This window comes from Homo sapiens, chromosome 11 (assembly GCF_000001405.40).
Source record: "Homo sapiens chromosome 11, GRCh38.p14 Primary Assembly".
Classification (NCBI taxonomy): Eukaryota; Metazoa; Chordata; class Mammalia; order Primates; family Hominidae; genus Homo; species Homo sapiens.
The window spans coordinates 26450118-26467870 of NC_000011.10; the positions used below are offsets into that span (position 1 = coordinate 26450118).

General features: G+C 36.2%; 1 protein-coding gene across 4 annotated transcripts in view; it reads left to right on the forward strand.

Annotated features, from left to right (window-relative positions):
• Positions 1–17753, forward strand: part of ANO3 (anoctamin 3) — a 474482-nt gene that overhangs the window by 261310 nt on the left and 195419 nt on the right. For 3 of the 4 annotated variants that reach the window (NM_001313726.2, NM_031418.4, XM_047427399.1), the window contains one exon: positions 12913–13031. In NM_001313726.2, coding sequence (NP_001300655.1) covers positions 12913–13031 — 119 coding nt within the window. Of the gene's footprint in view, positions 1–12912; positions 13032–17753 lie in introns of those variants that run through there. The other variant, XM_017018118.3, reaches the window with a different exon arrangement.

The window sequence follows — 17753 nt, forward strand, 5'->3', positions numbered from 1 at the left end:
GCTACTTCCTTTCTATTATAGCACTTTGGATGACTGTTCACTAGATGATAGTAACTGTGACTTATGTTTGCCTTACTCATATTGCTTGGTGCAAGCTATCTACTCACTGACTTGGGTGGATGGGTGAGGATTGGAAGAGTGCAGGGAAAGATGGTGAGTAGAAAACACTAGCACACTGACACAATGGAAAGCAGTGTATCTGCAGGATTTGCTTCCCTGTGTTGTTCATTGAGCACAGCTCTGTCAGTACCCTCATTGCTACTGGCTAGTGGTAGTACTTTAGAACAATAGGGCTAGGGAGAAGCAGGCTAACAAAGGAACCCCAAAGAATTAATAAGTCTGGGTCCTTGTTGTTACTGTGTCCTAACCACAGAGCAAGCCATGTATGGACCATTCATGAATTTATTCTTCACAGAAAGCTTCTGTAGGATAATTTTTAAAATCATGATATTTATTGGTGGTCAAAAGGTCCAGTTTCAGGTACCAACCCTGTCACTTACTACTTGGGTACACACCATCTTTGCCTGAGTTTTCCGATTTGAGAAATGGAGATATCAATATTAATTTCTTCTTATAAACAGAGATTGAGCAGAATTGTAGTGAAAGCTGTTGTGAGACTCAAATTAGACAATATTTGTCAGAGATCTACTCACACATTTAAAATTCTCCAGGAAGTATAGCATCGATTTTCAAATGCTGAAACAATGCAATGTAACGGAGTAACAAAATAAAATGACATTATAGTAAAGAAGAATGACTGAGCTGGAATAATTTAGCTATTAAAATTTTACTCCCAGAGATAGCTGTAAGGTTTATGTTGTGATCATAATAGTCTGCTATATTATATTGGTCAGTTCCTTTAAGTTTTGAACTGATGCTTACATGCAAACAAAATTTATAAGACAGTGCATTCCCACTTGAGTCAGCATAAGTTTTCAACATAAAGCATACAATTGATGATTAGAAAACAGACTTATAGGGGAGGAGCCAAGATGGCCGAATAGGAACCACTCCGGTCTACAGATCCCAGCCTGAGCGACGCAGAAGACAGGTGATTTCTGCATTTCCATCTGAGGTACCGGGTTCATCTCACTAGGGAGTGCCAGACAGTGGGCGCAGGTCAGTGGGTGCAGTGCACCCTGCATGAGCCGAAGCAGGGCAAGGCATTGCCTCACTCGGGAAGCGCAAGGGGTCAGGGAGTTCCCTTTCCTAGTCAAAGAAAGGGGTGATGGGCGGCACCTGGAAAATCGGGTCACTCCCACCCGAATACTGCGCTTTTCCGACGGGCTTAAAAAACGGCACACCAGGAGATTAAATCCTGCACCTGGCTCGGAGGGTCCTACGCCCACGGAGTCTCGCTGATTGCTAGCACAGCAGTCTGAGATCAAACTGCAAGGCGGCAGCAAGGCTGGGGGAGGAGCGCCCGCCATTACTCAGGCTTGCTTAGGTAAACAAAGCAGGCAGGAAGCTCCAACTGAGTGGAACCCACCACAGCTCAAGGAGGCCTGCCTGCCTCTGTAGGCTCTACCTCTGGGGCAGGGCACAGACAAACAAAAAGACAGCAGTAACCTCTGCAGACTTAAATGTTCCTGTCTGACAGATTTGAAGAGAGCAGTGGTTCTCCCAGCATGCAGCTGGAGATCTGAGAACAGGCAGACTGCCTCCTCAAGTGGGTCCCTGACCCCTGACCCCTGAGCAGCCTAACTGGGAGACACCCCCTAGTAGGGGCAGACTGACACCTCACATGGCCGGGTACTCCTCTGAGACAAAACTTCCAGAGGAACAATCAGACAGCAGCATTCGCGGTTCACGAAAAACCACTGTTCTGCAGACACCGCTGCTGATACCCAGGCAAACAGGGTCTGGAGTGGACCTCTAGCAAACTCCAACAGACCTGCAGCTGAGGGTCCTGTCTGTTAGAAGGAAAACTAACAAAAAGGACATCCACACCAAAAGCCCATCTGTACATCACCATCATCAAAGACCAAAAGTAGATAAAACCACAAAGATGGGGAAAAAACAGAGCAGAAAAACTGGAAACTCTAAAAAGCAGAGCACCTCTCCTGCTCCAAAGGAATGCAGTTCCTCACCAGCAATGGAACAAAGCTGGACGGAGAATGACTTTGACGAGCTGAGAGAAGAAGGCTTCAGATGATCAAACTACGAGCTACAGGAGGAAATTCAAACCAAAGGCAAAGAAGTTGAAAACTTTGAAAAACATTTAGACGAATGTATAACTAGAATAACCAATACAGAGAAGTGCTTAAAGGAGCTGATGGAGCTGAAAGCCAAGGCTCGAGAACTACGTGAAGAATGCAGAAGCCTCAGGAGCCGATGCGATCAACTGGAAGAAAGGGTATCAGTGATAGAAGATGAAACGAATGAAATGAAGCGAGAAGGGAAGTTTAGAGAAAAAAGAATAAAAAGAAACGAACAAAGCCTCCAAGAAATATGGGACTATGTGAAAAGACCAAATCTACATCTGATTGGTATACCTGAAAGTGACGGGGAGAATGGAACCAAGTTGGAAAACACTCTGCAGGATATTATCCAGGAGAACTTCCCCAATCTAGCAAGGCAGGCCAAAATTCAGATTCAGGAAATACAGAGAACACCACAAAGATACTCCTCGAGAAGAGCAACCCCAAGACACATAATTGTCAGATTCACCAAAGTTAAATGAAGGAAAAAATGTTAAGGGCAGTCAGAGAGAAAGGATGGGTTACCTACAAAGGGAAGCCCATCAGACTGACAGCAGATCTCTCGGCAGAAACTCTACAAGCCAGAAGAGAGTGGGGCCCAATATTCAACATTCTTAAAGAAAACAATTTTCAACCCAGAATTTCATATCCAGCTAAACTAAGCTTCATAAGTGAAGGAGAAATAAAATACTTTACAGACAAGCAAATGCTGAGAGATTTTGTCACCACCAGGCCTGCCCTAAAAGAGCTCCTGAAGGAAGCACTAAACATGGAAAGGAACAACCGGTACCAGCCGCTGCAAAATCATGCCAAAATGTAAAGACCATTGAGACTAGGAAGACACTGCATCAACTAATGAGCAAAATAACCAGCTAACATCATAATGACAGGATCAAATTCACACATAACAATATTAACTTTAAATGTAAATGGACTAAATGCTCCAATTAAAAGACACAGACTGGCAAATTGGATAAACAGTCAAGACCCATCAGTGTGCTGTATTCAGGAAACCCATCTCACGTGCAGAGACACACATAGGCTCAAAATAAAAGGATGGAGGAAGATCTACCAAGCCAATGGAAAACGAAAAAAGGCAGGGGTTGCAATCCTAGTCTCTGATAAAACAGGCTTTAAACCAACAAAGATCAAAAGAGACAAAGAAGGCCATTACATAATGGTAAAGAGATCAATTCAACAAGAAGAGCTAACTATCCTAAATATATATGCACCCAATACAGGAGCACCCAGATTCATAAAGCAAGTCCTGAGTGACCTACAAAGAGACTTAGACTCCCACACATTAATAATGGGAGACTTTAACACCCCACTGTCAACATTAGACAGATCAACGAGAAAGAAAGTTAACAAGGATACCCACAAATTGAACTCACCTCTGCACCAAGCAGACCTAATAGACATCTACAGAACTCTCCACCCCAAATCAACAAAATTTACATTTTTTTCAGCACCACACCACACCTATTCCAAAATTGACCACATGGTTGGAAGTAAAGCACCCCTCAGCAAATATAAAAGAACAGAAATTATAACAAACTCCCGGACCACAGTACAATCAAACTAGAACTCAGGATTAAGAAACTCACTCAAAACCGCTCAACTACATGGAAACTGAGCAACCTGCTCCTGAATGACTACTGGGTATATAACGAAATGAAGGCAGAAATAAAGATGTTCTTTGAAACCAACGAGAACAAAGACACAACATACCAGAATCTCTGGGACACATTCAAAGCAGTGTGTAGAGGAAAATTTATAGCACTAAATGCCCACAAGAGAAAGCAGGAAAGATCCAAAATTGACACCCTAACATCACAATTAAAAGAACTAGAAAAGCAAGAGCAAACACATTCAAAAGCTAGCAGAAGGCAAGGAATAACTAAAATCAGAGCAGAACTGAAGGAAATAGAGACACAAAAAGACCTTCAAAAAATTAATGAATCCAGGAGCTGGTTTTTTGAAAGGATCAACAAAATTGATAGACCACTAGCAAGACTAATAAAGAAGAAAAGAGAGAAGAATCAAATAGACGCAATAAAAAATGATAAAGGGGATATCACCACTGATCCCACAGAAATACAAACTACCATCAGAGAATACTACAAACACCTCTACTCAAATAAACTAGAAAATCTAGAAGAAATGGATAAATTCCTCAACATATATGCTCTCCCAAGACTAAACAAGGAAGAAGTTGAATCTCTGAATAGACCAATAACAGGAGCTGAAATTGTGGCAATAATCAATAGCTTACCAACCAAAAAGAGTCCAGGACCAGATGGATTCACAGCCAAATTCTACCAGAGGTACAAGGAGGAACTGGTACCATTCCTTCTGAAACTATTCCAATCGATAGAAAAAGAGGGAATCCTCCCTCATTTTATGAGGCCAGCATCTTCCTGATACCAAAGCCAGGCAGAGACACAACAAAAAAAGAGAATTTTAGACCAATATCCTTGATGAACATTGATGCAAAAATCCTCAATAAAGTACTGGCAAACTGAATCCAGCAGCACATCAAAAAGCTTATCCACCATGATCAAGTGGGCTTCATCCCTGGGATGCAAGGCTGGTTCAATATACGTAAATCAATAAATGTAATCCAGCATATAAACAGAGCCAAAGACAAAAACCACATGATTATCTCAATAGATGCAGAAAAGGCCTTTGACAAAATTCAACAACACTTCATGCTAAAAACTCTCAATAAATTAGGTATTGATGGGACATATCTCAAAATAATAAGAGCTATTTATGACAGACCCACAGCCAATATCATACTGAATGGGCAAAAACTGGAAGCATTCCCTTTGAAAACTGGCACAAGACAGGGATGCCCTCTCTCACCACTCCTATTCAACATAGTGTTGGAAGTTCTGGCCAGGGCAATTAGGCAGGAGAAGGAAATAAATGGTATTCAATTAGGAAAAGAGGAAGTCAAATTGTCCCTGTTTGCAGACGACATGATTGTATATCTAGAAAACCCCATTGTCTCAGCCCAAAATCTCCTTAAGCTGATAAGCAACTTCAGCAAAGTCTCAGGATACAAAATCAATGTACAAAAATCACAAGCATTCTTATACACCAATAACAGACAAACAGAGCCAAATCATGAGTGAACTCCCATTCACAATTGCTTCAAAGAGAATAAAATACCTAGGAATCCACCTTACAAGGGACGTGAAGTACATCTTCAAGGAGAACTACAAACCACTGCTCAATGAAATAAAAGAGGACACAAACAAATGGAAGAACCTTCCATGCTCATGGATAGGAAGAATCAATATTGTGAAAATGGCCATACTGCCCAAGGTAATTTATAGATTCAATGCCATCCCCGTCAAGCTACCAATGACTTTCTTCACAGAATTGGAAAAAAACTACTTTAAAGTTCATATTGAACCAAAAAAGAGCCCGCATCGCCAAGTCAATCCTAAGCCAAAAGAACAAAGCTGGAGGCATCACACTACCTGACTTCAAACTATGCTACAAGGCTACAGTAACCAAAACAGCATGGTACTGGCACCAAAACAGAGATATAGATCAATGGAACAGAACAGAGCCCTCAGAAATAATGCCATATATCTACAACTATCTGATCTTTGACAAACCTGAGAAAAACAAGCAATGGGGAAAGGATTCCCTATTTAATAAATGGTGCTGGGAAAACTGGCTAGCCATATGTAGAAAGCTGAAACTGGATCCCTTCCTTACACCTTATACAAAAATCAATTCAAGATGGATTAAAGACCTAAACATTAGACCTAAAACCATAAAAACCCTAGAAGAAAACCTAGGCATTACCATTCAGGACATAGGCATGGGCAAGGACTTCATGTCTAAAACACCAAAAGTAATGGCAACAGAAGCCAAAATTGACAAATGGGATCTAATTAAACTAAAGAGCTTCTGCACAGCAAAAGAAACTACCATCAGAGTGAACAGGCAACCTACAAAATGGGACAAAATTTTCACAACCTCCTCATCTGACAAAGGGCTAATATCCAGAATCTACAATGAACTCAAACAAATTTAGAAGAGAAAAACAAACAACCCCATCAAAATGTGGGCGAAGGACATGAACAGACACTTCTCAAAAGAAGACATTTACGCAGCCAAAAAACACATGAAAAAATTCTCATCATCACTGGCCATCAGAGAAATGCAAATCAAAACCACAATGAGATATCATCTCACACCAATTAGAATGACAATCATTAAAAAGTCAGGAAACAACAGGTGCTGGAGAGGATGTGGAGAAATAGGAACACTTTTACACTGTTGGTGGGACTGTAAACTAGTTCAACCATTGTGGAAGTCGGTGTGGCGATTCCTCAGGGATCTAGAACTAGAAATACCATTTGACCCAGCCATCCCATTACTGGGTATATACCCAAAGGACTATAAATCATGCTGCTATAAAGACACATGCACACGTATGTTTATTGCGGCACTATTCACAATAGCAAAGACTTGGAACCAACCCAAATGTCCAACAACGATAGACTGGATTAAGAAAATGTGGCACATATACACCATGGAATACTATGCAGCCATAAAAAATGATGAGTTCATGTCCTTTGTAGGGACATGGATGAAATTGGAAATCATCATTCTCAGTAAACTATCGCAACAACAAAAATCCAAACACCACATATTCTCACTCATAGGTGGGAATTGAACTATGAGAACACATGGACACAGGAAGGGGAACATCACACTCTGGGGACTGTTGTGGGGTGGGGGGAGGGGGGAGGGATAGCATTGGGAGATATACCTAATGCTAGATGACGAGTTAGTGGGTGCAGCGCACCAGCATGGCACAGGTATACATGTGTAACTTACCTGCACATTGTGCACACGTACCCTAAAACTTAAGGTATAATTAAAAAAAGAAATAAAAAAAAAACCTGCACGTTTTTGCACATGTACCCTAGAACTTATAGTATAATAAAAGAAAAAAGAAAGAAAACAAATAAAAATGTTTTGACTCTGAAAAAAAAAAAGAAAACAGATTTATAGATTAAATTTAAAATTTTCCACTGGCATACTCGAGGTAATTACATTGTTTCCTATCTACTTAGGCTTTAAAATTAAAGATAGGACTTTTTTGGTAGCCCTAAATTACTTATTTTTTTGTAGTTGTCTCAGTACTCAAATTGTGAATTGAATGCAAACAAAAGGAAGAAAATATATATTTATGTGTTTGAGTAACTGTGTATAGATTCTTGCATTTAATCCTTGGAAATATTCTATGGGAATATTTTATTCTAAAGTCTAACGTTAAAAAACTGTAACGGACTCACTGCCACCCAGCTAACAAATGATAAAACAAAGATTTTAAGTTGGATTTGTTGAAACCAATATTGATTCCCTTGCCACTATGTCAGCCTTTGTTCTTCAACATATGAAGTGATTTTATTGAGCTTTGAGACTGCATTTTTATGGATGTATGCCTTCCTATTATTCTGCTACTAGAGAACAGCAAGAGTTCTATTTGTCATAATCAGATTTACTGTAACTGTTACCACCTGTTCCAGAAAGCTGTTGTCTTTTTTTTGTGAAAATCTGTTTTTCTTAACTCTTTGATCTTTTTAGATTTTAAAACACTATCAATTTTAGGAAGCATCATCAAATTAATAAGAGCTTTTGGGAAAAATAGGTTACTGCCATGATTTCAGAAATGTTACAATATGGGAGAAAGTCATCTTAAAAATAGGAAATATAATATTTGGTATTGTAATTTAGTGCTATTGCTTAAACATTTTTCTAATTTGAAATTTAATTGATGTTCTGGGCATATGTGCAATAAATGTCTCATCACCACATGAGGAGGATTTCATAAAAATAAGGATCTGTGCCCTTGAGAACAACCAAAACACATTAGTAGGTTTCATTTGTGTTTCAGAAGATCTCACTGATGGCAGAATAATTAGCTTCATTAACCAAAATGCAATATGACTGTCTCCATTGTTGCTCTCAGATGTTGACTGACGCTAATACTAACTCTAAAAAGCTTTGTAAATTCTGCCGTTATGATACAAATAACTCCTAGCAAGAAAAAAAATATCTGTGAGGGAGAGAGGACTACCACTACCTAGTTAAAATAGGTAACACAATTTACATTTCCTTCATACTATAGTTTTTCACTGTTTGTCCTTACATTTATATTGTTTTACAAAGTTACATTCAGAAGGAAAATTATATTTCAAATGAAATGTGTGAGAATAGCCTAAAACAGCTTTTTAACTTAAGATTATAGTTTAAGCATTTCTGTACATTGCCAGTCTGCAAAGCAATTTAATGGATGCAAAATATTCCCATATATAAGCATACCATTCATTTATTAGTTAATTTAACAATTACTAAGAGATTACAATGCAATTAACAATGAACTAAATATCTGGATATAGCGATGAACAAAACAGTCACTGCACTTATAGCACTTACAGTTAGGAGGAGATAGATATAACATTTATACATATAAATGTATACATTCAATGCCCGATGTTGATGTATATGTACATATATAGCATATATGTTTTATATGAGTGTGTGTTTTATCATTTGATGTCAGGTGCTGATAAAAATAATAAAAAATAATAAAGCATTGCGAGCAGAGGGAGAACTATGGAGACTGTATTTTAGAAATAATGGTCAAACAGTGATTCTCTGATGAGGTGACAAGTGAACAGAACCCTGGCTAAAACAGATATTGAGCATTATCTGCAGAGAGACAAGCAAGTGCAAAAACCCCACAGTGAGAACATACTTTACATCAAATAACCTGGTGCAGCTGGATTGGAGGGCATGAGGGTAGAGCTGTAGGAGCTGGACAGGGAATGATAGTAAGGAGCTAGATGATGCATATGCCCAGTGGGCTGTTGTATGGACTATGGCTTTACCTGGAGATGCAGAATTATTAGAAGGTTTGAATAGAGATTTAATATCATTTATCTTGGGTTTTTAAAAGGGCCACCCTGGCTATCATGTGGTAGGAGGAAAAGATGGATACAGGAAGATCATTTTGGAGAATCGAATGGACTTCTGTTCATTTAATTAACTATAATCAGATGTTGATAAATGATCAGCTTTGAGCTATAATTTAAAGACAGTTTAGACAGGATTTGGGCATTTAAATCCAGTTAGTCATTCAATAAACATTTATTGAATGAACTATGTGTCAGACCCTATTCTAGATGTTAAGGAGAAAGCAGTCAACAAACAAGACAACAAAAGTGGGAAAAAATGTACACACACACACACATACATATATATATATATAGGCCAGGCCAGGCTCACAAAAAATACCTTAGTGAGGGGAACAAATAATGAAAAAGACAAATAAGTAAAAACACATTACATATTAGTGGTATGTGCTGAAGAGTGAAATGTACTAAAGAGTTAATGCTTCATGTTAAGTTAAAAGAATTTGGTGAAGGATTTGATGTAGGGTACAAGAGAAAATGAGGAGTCAAGATCACTCCTAGGGTTTTAGCCTGTGTAACTAGAATAAACTTGTTTATTAAGATGGCAATAGTTTCTACGTTTTATTATTCATAGGCTTAAAGGAACATTCCTGCTAACACAGATTTTCTTTCTTTTAGATTATAATTTTAGAATGCATTTCCAGTTGTGCTGTTTTGCTCTTAAAACATGTTGATGGATGCGCCTCCATGATCCAAACACTTCCCACCAGTCTTCATTTTCAACATTAGAGATCAGATTTCAACATGAGACCTGGACCAAACAAACCATATCCAAGTCATAGCAATATCTTTGCATATCATTCATCAGGACAGTGATTTAAAACTATCTGCATACTCTAATATTATTTGTTTTCTTAGTTAATTTACTTCAATTTTTCTACTTCTGTTATATATTTTTTCATTTTTATTCTGTTAATAAGCATTTATTGAAAAATTTTCTTTGCTTTCCAACTTTTAGGTTCAAGAGGTATATGTGCACGTTTGTTACATGGGTAAATTGCATGTCATAGAGGTTTGGCGTACAGATAGTTTTTTCACCCAGATATTATGCTGACTTCTCCAGTATACCAAGAAAGAAAAAGAAGAAGAAAGGGGGGGGGGCGGGCGGGTGGAAGGAAAGAAGGAAAGAAGGAAGGAAGGAAGGGAGGAAGGAAGGGAGGGCAGTAAAAAAGAAAAGAAAACAAATGTGAAGGAATTTAGAAAATAAAATGATTAGCTCTAGTCAGCGCTGTAGGGTAGGGGAAAAAAAGATCTGAAAAGACTTCATAAATGTGGTGGTATTTGGCAAATGTTCAAAATTGATTTAGCTTTCCTCCAGCAAGATGATGCTGTGTATTTCTTTTCCAGAAATAGATGAGTTATAGGAATTAAAGAAAAAAGTAAACAGAAAAATCTCTGCCTAGAAAACTAAATTGTGAGTGGAATAGGAGCAGGAAATGAGTAATGAACTTCTATAGGTTTAATTTCTTGTGTTCCATGGAAAATAAAATAATTAATGTAAATTGTCATTTTATCTTTTATAAGCATTAAATTCATATTTAGATAATTTTAGAGTTTAGAGGACCCTTAGAGACTTGGGAAAAGGAAATTGCATGCTAAGGAAGTGGCAGATTTAGAATGAGAAATGACATCTTGTGATCCACAAGCCAGTGCCTGCTCCCCAACAGCACATGCCATTTGCCGATTGCTGTTTAACCAAACCAGGATTTCTTGCTTCTCTAATAACCAATGGTGAAAATGATGGAGAGACAGAGAGAAAGACAGGGACAGAGAGAGAGCGAGAGCAAGCGAGCGAGCGCGAGAGTGCCTACCGGGGGAAAGGAAGGAAAGGGGGAGAAAGGATTGGCAAGGAAATAAAAACACAAAACACTCTATGCCTTACAAACTGGCAGTCAATGGTAGGGTTTTGGTAGCTGCTCCAAGAATATAACTCCAAAATTTCAGTTTCTTTCACGCTTAGGTAACAGTTCAATGCAAATCCAGATTGTGCATTTTAAAGTTTTCTGTGTTGATCATTCTTCCTCCAGTTTACCTGTGTGTCTAACTGCCTCACTCTTTATATCTTTGTGCAAATATTACTATGTTCTTTACTAAAATGACACCCCCCACTCCTTTCACACCTTCATCCTTCCTATCTACGTATTTTTCTCAAATTCACTGACCACAAGACATACTTAATATTTTACTTATTTTAAAATTGCATTTCTTCTCTTACTTCAATGTTCTATGAAGGCAGAATTGTGTTTGCCACTCTAATGTCAACTTGTAAAAGAGTATCTTGCATATCAGGGTTGTTTAATAAACAAAAGTTGAATGAATACAATGTAACTTACCTAAATATGGGGGAAACATATTATATTCACAAGCATGCGCTTTGGAATCAGATCAGAATTTGTTTCAGTTTTAGATGTACCTCTTACTAGTTTAGTGACTTTGGCATGTTCCATGTTCCTTTTTTGCTTATTATTAAATGTAGGAAGAAATTATACCCACTTTATAAAGTTGTCATCAGAATGAAAGAAAATAATACAGGTAAAGTTTCTAGCTTATTGCATGCACTTAGCAAATGTTAACCATCAATGAGTTAGGTATGGTTAATAGGTCTAAGTGTAACCACTAAAAGCTTAGAGCTTCTTAACATATCTGGCCATTAACTGCATCCTAAGACATAATATGACCTATATAATTTTAGTTTATACCACTAAAAACCTGATACTATTAGCTGCCCATGATGTAACATATTATGTTTTAATAGTTTTTAACCATTATTTATAAAGGAATGGATATACTATAAACAAAATTGTTTTTCCTCTGTACAATAAGTTGACTGAAATCTTGAAAGCACTAGAGTTTTCCATGTCAAAATTCACGTTTAGTAGATATCAACTGATCTAATCAAATAACTCTAAGATGTTTTGATATCTTTGAAAGGGCTAAATATATAGCAATCTGTTTTTTAATTTGCAGAGATATTTATATCACATGGAATATAAATTTAGTGAAGTGTGTCAAGAATTCTTGGTCATATAGACACCATAGAGATTTCCTATTTTATATTATTTTACATTAATTACAGCTTATTCATTGTTCATGTACATCCTTATGTGTAACTGATATTATAGCATTTTAGTTTTTGGCTATTCTGCTAGTAACCATCATTTTTCAGTGTTCTCTGTTCTTTCCTGACAGTTGTTTCAATCCCCTGATTTTATGTTTCTTGTAATGTTTATTAAGATATTTTCTACTATTTCTCAGACTTTTTGCACCCTTCAAATTTTTCCAGCTTTTAAGAAAACAGACTCTCAAGATCAATGCAGTTTTTAATTAAGCAAATAAATGCTTGTACAGTTCTTACAAATGTCACTATCTTCAAGTTCAAAACATGATGATTTTTTTCATGGTTCCAATTTTATTTTCAAAAATTTGAAGTACATTGAATAGCATAGATGAATTTAATTCTTCTGAAAGTCACTATCAGTGTCAGCATTAGTAAATAATAGGCAGGCTTTCACATTACTTTTATGTGCTTATTTATTGAATGTATGGATTATTTGAAAATTATGCCACACAAATTTTATGTATTTTCTAGTATATATATAGGCTAAACTCTGGGAAAACATGAAAGAGGAGAGATTAGTATGTTTAATGAAAAAAGAGAAAAACTATAGAAATGGATATAACTTTCTCTTTCTCTTTTATAGCCCTAGGAAAAGATAAGGATTACACGGATGAATCAGAACACGCTACTTATGACCGATCTCGTCTCATTAATGACTTTGTTATCAAAGATAAATCTGAATTCAAGACAAAATTATCTAAGGTAATGAGAACTAAATTATCAATAAGTCATTTTTAGAGCATCATTTTTAAAACCTTACAATATTCATCTACATATTTGGTTTTCTGCTGGAGAATATAAAAGAATATACATGTTAATATGTACTATTAAGAACTCAGAAGCAAAAAGTTGTATATAGAGTTGATATTCATATTTGTTATATTGATTCATCATATATCTCAAACAGAATGTTTAAAATACTTAATCTGAAATGTAAAATTATTCATTAATAGTCCCTTTAAGGCTTTATTTCTTCATCTTTCTTAGCATGACTTAATGAGAACATGGATTTTAGTATCACATCAACCAAGATTTAAATTCCATTTCTACTACCCAGTTGTAATAACTTGATAAGGCTAATTAAACTCACTGAGAATTGTTTTTCTCATTTGAAATATGCTTCTGGTTGTCTGCTTGACAAGATTATTGGAAGACAAAATGAGAAAACCATGTAAGTGTCTGGTGCATAGCAAAAGATTGAGAATACCTTATTGAAATTATAGTTCACCAATACAAAAATGAGGTAGAGTTCAATTTTAGAAACTCCTGGCTCCAACAATCCTGCCATCCCTCAAACAAAATGCTTTCATGGACTCTTCAAAGCATGGGAGTGTTCCCATCAGATACCAAAGACAAAATGGATGCTGCTTCTTTTCATCATTGCAAATGTAACTGATCCATATTTCCCTTTTGATGATTTTCACGACAAATCCTAGCTCAGGATAAGCTCACTTTTTTTTTTTCATTTTTTGTGTTGATGAAAAAGGAAATGCCTTTGTAAAAAAGATAGTTGGATATTAAGTGCAGTTTAACACAAGGAATGACTTAGGTTTCAATTTTCACTGCATGGCTAATAATCACATTCTTGAATACAATTTTCTTGGTGATATTTGATTTTGTATTTCTTGGATTAATTTTGCAAATATCTTTATTAGTCACCCACCAGTGTGTTAGTAAATAAATATGGCAGAGACTAAATATTACTATCATGAGACCAAACTAATACATAGATGCAGGGATAATTGTGCCAGATTTCTTTATTACTGTTTGTTTGGTTTTATTAAATTGCATCAGTATTATGGGCTAATAATTAAGTTATCTTTGCAAATCAGGTGTTTATCTTTCTATGGTTACTAAATCTGCCTCCCTGTGTCTGTCTGATAAATATAAAGGCTGTTTAGAGTCTCTACTATCTGTAAAGCACTGTTCCAAATGAACTGAGAGGAGGAGTTATAAGAGAAATTAAGATGTTGTTTCTTAATGTGCATATAGCACTGACTGGAAGACAAACACAATATGCTGAAATAATTAGAAAATGAACTACGATTAAATAGTTTGTATTATCTGCTTTTCTAGAATTACCACATGCCATCAATGATATCCACCATTTTATTTCTTCTCAACAGTAGCAATTTCCCAAGTTCCACTTTGACTAGACTAGAACTTTAGGATATCAAAGTTTTAAAAAAGTTGGACCTGCATGCATATTATGATTGTAACATTAATGATAAGAGAATGGTGTATGACTATGGTAACAGACCACAATAGGTCAATCCAATATATCTTATTCTAATGCCCTACTAAATCTACCTGATTACATACCCTTCTCCTATTATACTTCCACTCAAACTGTAGAACATCATGACACACCGGAGTGACTTGTTCTTCTAGCTTCTATTAAAATGTGTCCACTTTTATCCATTTTATAGTTTTGAGTGCAGCATAAATTCCATTTGAGCAATAACCAGAATGTTTAAATGCCATTTTGGTAGTCTACTTTTAAAGTTTATCTACAAGTGAAGAGCAAAATTACCTACTTAGACAATTTCCTTTGTGTACATTTGTCACAGGAAACCTCAAAAAAGCAATAATCTAAATTTTCATTGTTTGGGTGTCTGTATACCCTGTGTGCTTTATAAATTTGTTGGCCTTTCTCTTATTATACCCCATCATTAAATTGTGTGTGTGTGTGTGTGTGTGTGTGTGTGTGTGTGTCTGTGTGTGAATTAAAGCATATATATTTTCAGTTAGATCTTATGACATTGACAATTTTTATTCATTTGTGTCCTACAAATAGAAACTTCCTATGGTTCAAATGAACCTATTTAGATAGATAGATAGATAGATAGATAGATAGATAGATAGATAGATAGTTAAATTATATGGCTGAAGATGTGTGCCTTATAGCATCATATGTGACAATTGTGCTTGTTGTAATCTACATTGTGCATATTATGCAATGTAACCAATATTTTATTTCTACACAAAAGTTACTCATTTGCAAAGAGATCATTTTAGTGATGACAAAGCAAATTTATGAGGAGTCAACAGAAAGGGGGCACAGACTTGAAGGGGGGAAAGTAACTCCTAATACAAACTACATAGTGAGTAATAACAAGTATTAAATTACAGAAAACAAAGCTTTCTAACAAGCTTGCCATCAGCCAAACACTAAAATAATAGGAAATAACCCCAAGTCCTGCAACCTGATGTCTTATATTGAATTTATGAGGAAGCACTGTTGAGTTATGAAACGTAAAAACAAAGAAATACAGAAAAACATCTGACTAATTTACTAGGAGTTGTGTAAATAGACTGTATATGTGTTTAAACATTTGGTTTATCAATCATTGTGCAAACATTTTCTGAGTTGAGTTGGGGTAGTGAATTTTAATTTTTGTCAGGTACATATGCACTGTTTGTAATAATTTTGTAAGCTAATGTATTTATGAGTAACTATAGTTTGCTGTAGAATTAATCTTCAGAACAATGCATTGTATCTTTAGAATATCTTGCTTCAAATCATAAGTTTTTAGCATGTTATTTATACTGAAATTATTCAAAATTTTACAGATCAAAAGGATCTATAATTTTGATATCTACTATGATGAAGGGACATTGATAAATAAGATACTTTATTTATTGTGAAATTATAATGCACAAAGCTTGGTATGGTACTTTAGGACCAATATGGCAAACAGTAAATAGCTTTTGCTATCCAAGTACTAACTGGGATGCAGTTTAGGAATTCAGACATGCATATCAATTGGGAAATCCATGAGATTCTAGAAATTAGAGGCAGCACTAAACATGGTTTAAATCTGTATTTAGTTAGCCTCAAGCTTTACAATAGGAGTTATATTTAAATATTTCAGAGGCATTGTGGTAGATATAAAATTGGCCACAATCTTTTCTTTCCTGTATCCACTCTATTTTCAATGAGATTTTGCAGCTTTTCCCATCAAGAGATAGAGTCTATTGAACAGGCCTTGGTCCTCATGTTTGTCAGTAGACTGTTGCAGGAGTAACATTATGCCAGCACTGAGCCTTGAACTCAAAAGGTCTTCAACTCCCATTCTTTCTCTTGGGATTCTCCCTTTACCATGTGAATAAGTCAGAGCTAGTCTTGAGGAGGAGAAGAGACCACAGGGACCAGAGGCTCATAAGCACAGTTGCCCCAAATGAGGCAGAGAGAGATGAGAGAATCCAACAGCAAAGGCCAGGAAAATCAGACCTATGAAAAATCGCAACTGAGACCAGAAGAGCTACCCCGCTGAGTCCAGCCTGTGCACAGAATCATGAGCCAAAGAGTTGTTTGGGGATGGTTTGTCTCTCTGCAAGAGATAATGGAGACAACCACAAATGTTAAAGAATAACACATTGGCTAATACCAATGATTGTTAATATGAAGTTAATTCTTCCTCAGTGTCTAGGAAGATTTGCAAAATTGTCGCAGAGTTTGACACAGCATATTCACAGCATGCATTTAATTCTATGGAGCCCAAGTATATTTTAAATAGCATAACTGAAATCACATGGTATTTAAGCAACCTATCTAAAACTTTCTAAAATTGTTTTTTTTAAAAACTCTATTTACAAAAGTGCCTTCCTTGTGAAAACATTAAATCAAGGTAAAATTCCAAGATTACTATTAATCAAAATGTGTTTATAGTTAACAGCAGTCACAAACATGCAATGTTTTAAACAGTTTAATTTTTCTGGGTACAGAGTAAATGTATATATTTATGAGGTATATGGGATATATTGATACAGGCATACAAAATATAATAATTACATTGGGATAAATGAGGTATCCATCACCTCACGCATTTATCCTTTGTGTTACAAGCAATCCAATTATACTCTTTAAAATGTACAAGTAAATCAGTATTGACTATAGTCACCCTATTGTGCTATCAGATAATAGATCTTATTCCTTCTTTCAAAATATTTTTTGTGCCCATTTAATCATCCCCTCTCCCCTTGCCCTACATTTCCCAAACCCTGGTAATCATCATTCTACTTTCTATCTCTGAGTTAATTGTTTTAATTTTTAGCTCTCACAAATAAGTGAGAAGATGAAAAGTCTGTCTTTCTGTGCCTGACTGATTTCCTTTAGCATAATGACCTCCAGTTCCATCCATAGTGTTGCAAATGACAGGGTCTCATTCTTTTATGGCTGAATAGTACTCCATTGTGTATATGTTCCACTTTTTTTTTTTTTATCCATTCGCCTGTTGATGGACACTTGGGTTGCTTCCAAGTCTTGGCTGTTGTGAATACTGTTGCAATAAATATGGGAGTGCAGATATTTCTTTTATAAAACTTTTCTTTAAGACCAATTTACTTTCTGTCTTACCTCTTGACAAAAGGCTTTTTCATCCCTATGTGGCTAAGCAATTTAAGGAAGCATTTTGTAATGAA